This window comes from Homo sapiens, chromosome 6 (assembly GCF_000001405.40).
Source record: "Homo sapiens chromosome 6, GRCh38.p14 Primary Assembly".
Classification (NCBI taxonomy): domain Eukaryota; kingdom Metazoa; phylum Chordata; class Mammalia; order Primates; family Hominidae; genus Homo; species Homo sapiens.
Genome location: NC_000006.12, coordinates 112,365,347 through 112,376,052, shown reverse-complemented (window position 1 = coordinate 112,376,052; position 10,706 = coordinate 112,365,347). Strand labels below are relative to the sequence as shown.

General features: G+C 41.5%; 1 pseudogene; it reads left to right on the top strand.

Annotated features, from left to right (window-relative positions):
- Positions 8,786 to 10,318, top strand: FEM1AP3 (fem-1 homolog A pseudogene 3; annotated as a pseudogene).

The window sequence follows — 10,706 nt, the reverse complement described above, 5'->3', positions numbered from 1 at the left end:
ATTCATGGGAAGAGGAACAGAGGATGCACAAGGTTAGGTCTAATATTTGAAATTCACCTCTCTTAATAACTAAAAGTGTTTGAAAGATTACAGAAATGACTTGAGTTGTCATTAAGGGAGCCAAAGACCCCACAGGAAAACAAGGTTTGATGCAGTATAACAGTAGCACTAAAATAATAAAATAAAAAATAATGGTATTAAATCCAAAACAAGCCCATGTGGATTGCTGATCATTTATGTAACCATTTTGTAACTTTCAGTCACCTTTCTAGCCTGCAGTTTTTGGACTCATGCAAATAAGACAGCTTTGTGGCAGGATCTTAGGAAATTTTATATCACATGGTGAGCTTCACACCACGCAGTTAGAATAATTCATATGCAGCACAAACCTGAACCAAGATGATTATATCATTTACACTTCTCCAAATTCCTTCTGTCCTTGTGTGCTCTCGGACCCATTCCAGCCCTTTCTCTAATCTCTTCTGTAGTGGCCTGGGCTGATCCCTGCAAATTCCATTTCCTACTGCCTTGTAATTGGGTTCAGGCAGTGGGAACACTGGCAGAATATTTGAGGGTGAAAAAAGAAGAGGCCAGGGCATTTCTTCACCTACCTCTCTGTTTTGGAGGCATCCTCAGAAGTGGCTGGACATCCTCCAGGACTTCCAGATTCCTCTGGACAGCCTCTCCTTCTGTGCTCCCAGCCCCTCTAGACTCTGGCCGTACTACCTCCCTTTTCCCCCTTTCCTCCATTCTAAAGCTGGTAGGAAATTCCTGCTGTGGATAATAATGGGAATGCCTCTTTTTTCCCTTCCTGCCATTTTGGATCTTGCATCACTGCTGTAGTTTCCCATATTGGATGCCTTCTATTGAACTAGTTGGCATGAGCTGTTTTCCTGAATGAGCACTGACAAATATTCTCTCTTAATCCCATCCATCGTCTACCATTGTGTGGTGACACTCAGATGAATGCTAAATACACACATCTCATTTCAAGATATGCCATATTTATTCATTAATCTTTAACCTATTGTATTAAAGACAGTGAGAAATACATTGTCTATTACCAAGCTCAAGTTTTCAAAAAGTGATAGCTATCAAGAGTAAAAGGGAATATCAAAGTAAGTTTCTCAATCATTGGGGAAAATGGGCATAACACTGAACTCCCCATGGTTCAAGAATGGACTTGTTCAGGGAGTCAGTGTATTCTCCCATATTAGAGCACAAACCCCTGGAAAATAGGCCACAAAACCAGTTAAATTTTGATTGGAAAAGGAATTGGATTTCTTTCACTACTTAATTCTAGGTGCTGGATATACAGCTACGCATGAAACAAACAAAATCCCTGACCTCCTGGAGTTTAGTCTCAAAGAAGAAACACTAAAAAAGTAAACAGATCAACAATATTATTTCAGCAAATTGCAAGTGCTATAAAGAAAGATGAAGTAGGAAAAGGGAAGGGTAGTGGCTGGGAAAGGAGTTTTATTGATGGTTTCATAGAAGGCTCCTGAGAGGTGACAAGATAGCAGAGTCTGACTGATTAGAGAAAGTCAGGAGGACAAGAAGAAGAGCATCCCCAGCAGAGGAAGGAGCAGGAATGGAAGCCCTGCTGCAAGAATGCAGAGTGGGGCTGAGGAGTTCTGCCCTGGCTCTAGCACATGCCCTGAAGAGCCTGCATTTTGTAATGCATTCAGATTTGTATACCAGTGCAATTATATTTCAGTCATCATTGGCCCACCTCCCAATTTTTCCAAAACACGTGCAGACTTCTCAGAAATAACTATCACTGAACTTTTCTCAATAAATTCATTTATAAATGGTTGCACACCTCCACATTATTGACCTCAGGTCAGCTGGTGTTTCTCTCAGTGATAATCCCTAGACCAGTTGCTTCCAAGTCACCTGGGGTTGGGGTTCTTGTTTAAAATGATGCCTTCTCATCCCCCTCTCAGAACTACTGAATCCGAACCCCTGGGCTTGATGCCTACACATCTGTGACAGTCTTTCCACATAACATTTAAGCTCACTAAGTCTGGGAGTCACTGGGCTGTATACCTCCATGCCTCCATCCCACAAAATTTAGCGTTACATGGTTAGTGAAGCTGCAGCTTGCCAGCAAGTATATACAATTTCTCAGTTTAAATTCACCCCCTCCACCAAAAAAGAGTCCTTTAAAAGAAAAGCAATCAGTCAGTATGGAAATGTCCAAACAAAACCAAAATGCATAATTTAATTTGTGATTCTGATTTCAAAGGGCCAGTTTATTTAATTCCATTTGGAACTTTACCAACGCTACTAGGTATCCCCCTGTGTGTGTTTCTCCCTCTCACCCTAGAGAAGATTTGAGCCAACTTTTACTGTGGTCTAGCAAGATTTTCACTTCTGTCTCTGGGGCAACTGGTGAGCTTCTACGTACCTTTGATTAAAAAGAATCTCTGGCTATCTCGATTTCTGAGCACACTTCCTCTTTAGTGCCCTTTCCCAGTGAATTCCTGGCAAAGTCACAGAAAATCACTTTCAGGATAACATTTCTTTAAAAGTTATTACATCTAATTTATATAAAGTACTTGATTGTTTAAAAATACTATATAATTATATGTTTAACCTTATAGCATAGAGTTCTGTTTAATCTTACATTTTGCTTTAAGAGAAAACCAAATAAATTGCAAAGTATATATAGTCAAAAACTTTTCTAATAAATCAAATTCACAAAGATTCTTGTTTGGAGGTTTGGAGCAAGTAACCATGATTTCAAAAATAACAAATTGCTGGCAAGCCCATCAGAAATGTCACACAAGAACAAAGTAAAAAGGCCCTTACTAGTTTCAAAATATAAATAAACATACATTGCAAATCAAACAATTCAAATTATATATATGGGGTTTATTATTTCTAACAATTGATCTATTTTTATTACCTTCGGAGCACACTTTTAACCTAGTTCATATATATTACATCTGTCTGAATTTTAAAAAAATTGATACTTGGACATTGTCAAAAGAAACATTACTTCAAAAAATTAAAAAATAGAAAAGAATAATATCTGCTAGTAATGGCTTTTAGGATATTAGGTAACCATACTGCCACTTTTATCCATCACACTTTCTATCTCATTCCATGGAAATATTGCCATTCCACAGTCTTCCCAAAGTTAATTGACTGGGGTCGGTGAAGACAAAATCATAGGATTTCAAGAGCAAAATTTCTTCCTGCTTTTCACAACTTAGCCAATTCTCTGTATGCCAAGTGACTTTAGTCTAATAAGAATTAAAATAATTTTTCTAATTTCACGATCACAGGTTTTTTTCACGTTTTTATATTTCCATGTCATGATACCCAGATGCTCCGATTTTCTTTTCTGTGAGAGTGTCTCTCCAAATTCCCTGCAAAACTTTGCCCTATTCTTCCTACACTCTGCAAAGGGCAGTAGAGTGAAGCAGCAAGGACTCTACTACATTCTACATACACACTCCCCTCTTCCAACCATTGTTGTCTTCTGGTCCTGTGGTTAGTCCTTCATACTCCTCATGTTACCACAAAGACGGCAACCAGTAAGCTACAGACTAAAGGGTGCCAAGGATGTGTAACGTTACTCCCCATTAACTGACCCAAATGCAACCTGTTTTGCACAGTGGTCTATGCTAGTCCTTAAAATGTTCACTAGAGGGTGCACTATTTCTTTCCAAATTATTGAAGATGACTCCTAAATAGTAATATTAAAGTCAATCTATTCAAATGCTCCACTATATTAAGTCCTCAACATTAGATTTCAAGAAAAATAATAGCCAGAAAAGTCATATTTAGTGGGTCTAGTGGACAAAAATGGAAGTAGCAACAACTATCTACCATTAGTCCAGTGGCAGAATAATTTCTTCATCTGGAATTCTCAACCTTAGGATGAATGTGGCTGGCACCATATGCACTATGGTCTGTGCTTTCTGCACACACACACACACACACATACACACACATGCACACACACACTCCCCACTACAACCAAGCTTCTTGGAGAAAAGATGGAGGGGAAGAGATGCACCTCAGGATAGTAACCAGACAGAATAGCTATGACATGCTATGCAAAACCCTGTTTGACCAAAGAAGCTTGGCCCTTTTTATAGTAGCGCTTGTCTCTTTGCTACTATATCAGAGGAGGGTAGTTGTTCCCATGAGCTTGTTAACTCCAAGCAGGCTTCCTTGTCAATGAAGAATCAGTAGGGGAAGCTGTTAACTGTCAGGTTATGGCCAACCCAACAGTGGAGGCTTTAACATCAGATCAGAGTTACCTGTTACCCCATGCAAACTTTCATAAGGAGAGTGGGAAGGGGCAAATCCAAAGTTGGACATCTGAGATTACTGATATTCATTATTAAGTAAATGAACAAAAACGTTTTCCCAATAGCAATTTTAGTATAATCCTCACAATATCCTCATTCCATATATTATATTTTCTTCAGCTGAAAATGCATGCTTGTGTTTAATACAATTGTCTTTCCATAGCCTCTTAGCACATGCCAAGACACCTGTTGTTTTTGTTGTTGTATTTTGTGTGAGATATATATATATAAAACCAAGGCTCCTGTTTAAACTCAACCTGTTTCACATTGTGGTAATAGTTGACTTTCATTTGTCGCCACTTATTCATTTTTATAAGGCTGACCTCTTTTCACCTCTTAACACTACCCCAGAAATTTCTGAAAGTATCATCATCACTCCCATTCAGCTAAGATGTTCCAGATCTATCTTGCTCTTCCTGCCCAAGTTAAGCAGTCGCTCCCCTCAAGGGAGAACTGGTTCATTTCGGGGAATGATGATACATAGTCCTGAAATCTGGGTGCTTGTCTGCATTTTATATCATTCTACACCACCACTGGCAATAAACTGCCTCATATTAGAAGCCATGTGTTTTTAGTAACGTAAGAGCAGACTTTCAAATTCAGTCCTTCAGCTATCAATGTGGAGTAACTGGTGCTCACCAGGATTGGGTCATGATGGTGAGTGTTTATTGCAAAGCATGTTAACCTCCAGTGCATATTGACGTCACTGCTCTCCTGGGTGGCAGCAAAGTGGGTTGAAATTCAGAAAATGGTTCCCCTAACATGGCACAAGTCCATAATATGACCACAGCTACACATAGCTAAATGCAGACTTATTTTTTATTTATTTTTTTTTACATTATCAAGCACAGCATTAAAAAAAAATATATTAACACACTCTGGCAAAATGGGCCTTGGCTGTTAGTCTCTGTTAACAAAGAAGATATTCAATAAGGTGAAGTCCATTAGATTCACTGTTCTTGCTAATACTGCCCTATGAAAAGTAATACACATTCTCTACAGATGACCAATGTATGGAGGGGTCCTGTGTTTGCTTTGACTTTCCTTTGCCCTAAGTAAGCACTTTTATTGAAGCTCTCTTAATCTTTTTCCACCTGTTATACATCAGTGATGAATGTAGTAACTAACCTTATTTCACCTATGGCTTACAGACAAACCCTTTTCTTTCAAAAAGAAAATATCTTTTTTAAGCTGTTTTGAGATTATTTCTCTTACTTCATCCCAAAGAGTCTATTTTGGAAGGTGGTCTCAAGTTATTAGCTATTCTAAAATAGAACATTCTTAGCATTTTAACCAAACAAGGTCGTGACTGGAAAAGCTGCTACTTTCTGACATGGGCCTACAGGCGTCAGAATTAATTGGCACATTTTCAGTGGGGTAAATTGAAAACTTTAATCAGGGACTGAAAGTTCGACCATTTCCAATAGCAGAACGGTCAAAGGGGAAAAGAGGTGTGCTCTTCATAGGTCTCTTAACTGAATTATTCATGATGGAAGAAGATATTACACTCTTATAAAAGTTTCCTTATGGACTTCATTTAGAATTATTTCCCTTAATCTATTTGGATCTTCAGGGGGAGTCCTGCCTAGGGTGAATATTGACTTCAGTGCCTATAAAATTTCTGAATGGCTCTGTCTTTGGGGTTCTCAGCCCAGGCAACTTAACAGCATAGCAACAGCTTTTAGGATAAATGAATTCACTCCATTAGGCTTATGAAACTGGTCCATGCCCATGAGGTCACCTACTCCTGAAACCCCCTCTGGAATAAAGTTTTCACACCTCTGTAGAGCAGAGGCCTTAGTACAAATGCTTACAGAAACCAGAGACCAATAAACTTGTCTTCCATTGACTGGTGATAGACAACGGGGAGGGGAGCTGCAAAGCCTTGCTCCACATCTGTCTCACCTCCTGGCTTCCACCATACCAGATCTTACGTGGTCAAATCTTCCTATTTCTCAAGAGAAGCTGGTGGATTTATAAGCTTGTTTATTGTAGGCATGTCAGATGGGTAGAATGGGATTAATGGGATTAATCATGCCATCAATTCATGACACATTATCTTTGTTTCTTATCTTATTTTTATCTCCATCTTATACAATCCAATTTCTCTTCCCCTCCACAGGCTCCCAACCTAAAGTATTTCATATTTGTACCTTCAACCTCCAATATTTTTATTTGTACCTTCAACCTCCAATATATATATTTCTATATCTGTGAATGTCTTTAAAATATGAACATTAATATTTGTGTACATGTAATTTACATAAATAGTGCTAGACTACAAAAATTATGTTTTCGAGATCTGTTCATGTGGCTAAATATCTACTTTGTTCATTTCTTGTGACTGCTGTATAATCTAAATTTAGCCTAAGTATCCCCTGGTTCTTTGCTAGCACAAATAATGCTGAGATAAACATCCTCTTAAATATCTCTGGTGCATGCTTGTGAGAATTTCTATAGTGTTTAGGGTCTACAGAGTAATGAATCAATTCCACTAAGTACTGCTTTATAGCTTTCTAAGGTGACCATACCAGTCCATATCTCCCAGCAGTACACGAGGTTTCCCATCTCTCCATAGTCCCACCAGCATTTGATATGCAATGTTCTAATTTTTTGCACTTCAGTAAGCAGTATCTCAGAGTTTTAAGTTATATTTTGTTGATTAAAATGAAGTTAAACAACTCATTTTTGCATGTCATTTGTCAGCCATTAGGGTATGTCTTAATCATAATCTTTGACTTTTTATGTTGTTTTTTTCTTGCTTATTTACAAAAATTTATTTTATTATTCTAAATATTAATTATTTCTTGGTGATAAATATATTATAGATCTTCTCTCAAACTGTCACTTATCCTAAGTTTTGTTTTCATTTTCTCCAAATGAAACCCCATTCCTAAATTTTGTTTGTGGTGTTTTTGATTGTCCTTTATTAAGTACTGACTAGAAAGCTAAAATGCCACCTTTCCAGACTCTAGAAGTTAGGGTAGCCAGGTAACAGTTCATTCTGATGTAATGAAATATATTAATTTTTCTCTTTATAGTTTATACTTGAAGGATTTATTATTTATTTATGGTCCAAGGTCACTCTATCTGATGGATTTATTTTAGAATCTATCTACATGCCCAATCACAAAGAAAAATTTCTGAATTTTCTTCTATTAGCTTTACAGTTTTAGCTTTCAAATTTAATTTTTTAAATCTACCTGCTTCTCTAACTTAATTTTTCCTCCTATTCCATACTTTATATTCTGTCCAAGTCTCCCAACACTATTTATTAAGTAACTCATTCATTTTCCAAAGATCAAATTCTAAGTGTATTTATGTGTATTTTTTTCATTTCTATTTCTTTGAATAATAAATTAAACTCAGATAATTTTTTGCCCCCTTACTACTCCTCATTTTCTAAATTAGCTTAGCTATTTATACACATTCATTCATCTATGTTCATCTGGAAATCAGCTAGTGAAGATGCAAACGCAAAAAAAAAAAAAGTTTACTGGGATTTTAATTCAACTGCCTTAAATATTTAAAATATTAAATTATCCCATCCATGAACATGATTTACCTCCAATTTTTTTATGTTTCTTTTATATACTTTACTTATATAAGTATGATGCACTTAAAGGTAATTCCCAGATAAGTTACAGATTTTGTAACTGGACATTGGGATTAATACTCAAAAGCATTTGAAATCACTTTTTCCCCTCCTTCCACAAGGGAGGCCAGTTCTGGCCAAAGAGAGAAGGTCCCTGTAAAGGGGGTTTCTTCCTCACCTCACATCCTCAAAAGCAAAGCTCGATAAGAAGGAACCCACTGAAATCCACCGGACATTGAAGTCTTTTTATCAGTAATCTTTATAACTGACACACTCAGCAAAATCCTGACACTGAGATCTCTTCAACCCAGCTTCTTCAGCCAAAGACTCTCAAGGGAAAGAAGTGAAGGGGAAAATGTATAACTACATCAGCCAACAGCAATGTTTGTATCTTACTCGGATTTCAGTTCAAACGTACACACTGGATAAACAATGTGTAAGACAATTTAGGAAATGTGAACAATGGACGCTTGATATTTTTTAAAAACTATATTTTTAGATGTGATAATATTTTGATTATTTTTAAAGGATTTGGTTCTCTAAGAGATATATACAGTAAATATGTATAGACGAAATGATACGGGAACCCCTCAGGTGGCGGCGGGGGAGACGGTGAAGGCTGCCGCCCGCCAGCCCATCCCGGCTCTAATCCGCTGTCTCCGTGTCCCGCGGCGCCCAGACTATGTACCTCCGCACCGCGGTGTACGACGCCGCCCGCAACGGTAGCTGCAGCTGCTCTAGAAGGTGTTCACCTGCCGGAGCCCGGAGGAGCTGGACAAGCTGACAGGCGAGGTGGCCAGCTCGGGGGACGCCGCTGCTCATCCACCTGCTCTACTTGTTGGAGAAAGTGGAGTGCACCCCCAGCACGCTCCGGCCACCTGGACGCAGTAGGATACCCGGTGAACCGGTGCGGCGCGAGGGTGGAGGCTGACGGCTAGGGACCCTTCGGTGGCGGGACCATCGAGGGCTCGCCGCCGCTGTGGGCCGCCTCTGCCGCCGGCCACCTGGACGTGATGCGGAGCCTGCTGCCTCACAGGGCCTCGGCGAACCGCACCAGGAGCACCAACTCCACGCCCCTGAGCGCCGCCTGCTTCCATGGCCACTGGCGAGAACCAGACCTACCCGGAGGTGGCCAACCGGCACGGCCACATGTGCCTCATGATCTTGTGCTACAAGGGCCACCGAGAGATCGCCCGCTACCTGCTGAAGCAGGGCGCCCAGGTGAACCGGCGCAGCGCCAGTGGCAACACGGCCCTACACTACTGAGCCGAGTCTGGCAGCCTGGAGAGCCTGCAGCTGCTGCTGTGGTGGCAGACCCGCATGGGATTGCCTTCGCAGGACTCCGCTGCTGCTGCCAGCGTGACGGGCCACACTAGCATAGTGGAGTACCTCATCCAGGAGCAGCCCAGCCAGGAGCAGGACGCCGGGAGAGAGGCTCAGCCAGGGCTACCTCAAGAAGGCCCTCCACCAGCCAGGGGTGCACGCAGCCTCAGGGACTCCATGCTGCAGCTCCTCCGCGGAGGAACCACTGAACGGGGAATCCTATGAAAGCTGCTGTCCCACCAGCCCGGAAGTTGCCTTGGAAGCTGCCTTGGAAGCTGCCTTGGAAGCCTTGGAATTTCTGGGAGCCACGTATGTGGAAAAGAAGCGAGATCTGCTTGGGATCCTTAAACACTGGAGACGAGCCATGGAGTCACCTGCCCAAACCAGAACCCCAGAGGCTGGTCTTGGCCTATGGCTATTCCAGGGAGATCCACACCACCGAAGACTTGGAAGCTCTGATAAACCACCCAGATGAGATGCGCATACAGACCCTGTTGATCTGTTAGCGAATCCTCTGCGCCTCTCACTCCGACACTTCCTGTTACATCCGTTACTGGGGCGCGGTGTAGGCGGCCTGCGGCAATTTCCAGCGCTGCATCCACTTGCGGAAGTGGGACCTGGCCATGCAGCAGGTCAGCCAGCCTCTGAGCCCCATGACCGCCAGCAGCTTCCTCTCCTTCGCGGAACTCTTTCCTTACGTGCTGCAGGACCGGGCGGCCAAAAGCAGCTTGGGCATACAAATTGGCTTTGCAGACCTCATAGGGGTTCTCACGAAAGGGGTCTGGCAAATGGAACGTTTCCAGGACCCAAGGAGCTGCCGCTGCCCAAGGAGCCTGAAGACGCGGCCCAGTTCACCAAGGCGCTGGACATCATCCTCTACCTTCTGTATCTGTTGGAGGAAGTGGAGTGCACCCCTAGCCAGGAGCACCTGAAGCACCAGACCATCTACCACCTGCTCAAGTGTGCACCAAGGGGCAAGAACAGCTTCACCCCTCTGCACATGGCTGTGGGCAAGGACACCACAAATGTGGACCACAAATGGAGGCAGATTCACCTCCCTGCACGCGGTTCTATTATTTGCTAAAAAGAGCCCAGATGCTTTTTCTAAATTTCAGAAATCCATATAAAACATACAGTTTTCCAGCTGCCCATTCTCAAAATTGTTACAAGTTCGGTCTCTTTGGTACTTCTTTCTCATCATTCCAAGAGATGGTAACATGTTTTCTGGGCCTATGAACTTTAACCAGAAGGCTTTGTTCACACCTGCAGATATATTTAGATACAGTATCAAGAAGCAGACTGAGGTGGAAATTCTTTGAATGTCACCAATGTACACCTTGAGTGGGGAATGGGGGGAGGCTCCACGAGGAGGGGAGGGTTTGATTGCCAATAAGAAAATCAGGTCTAGAAAGAAGGAATCTCAAAATTTTCAGCACAGTGCTGATGATGAAGACATG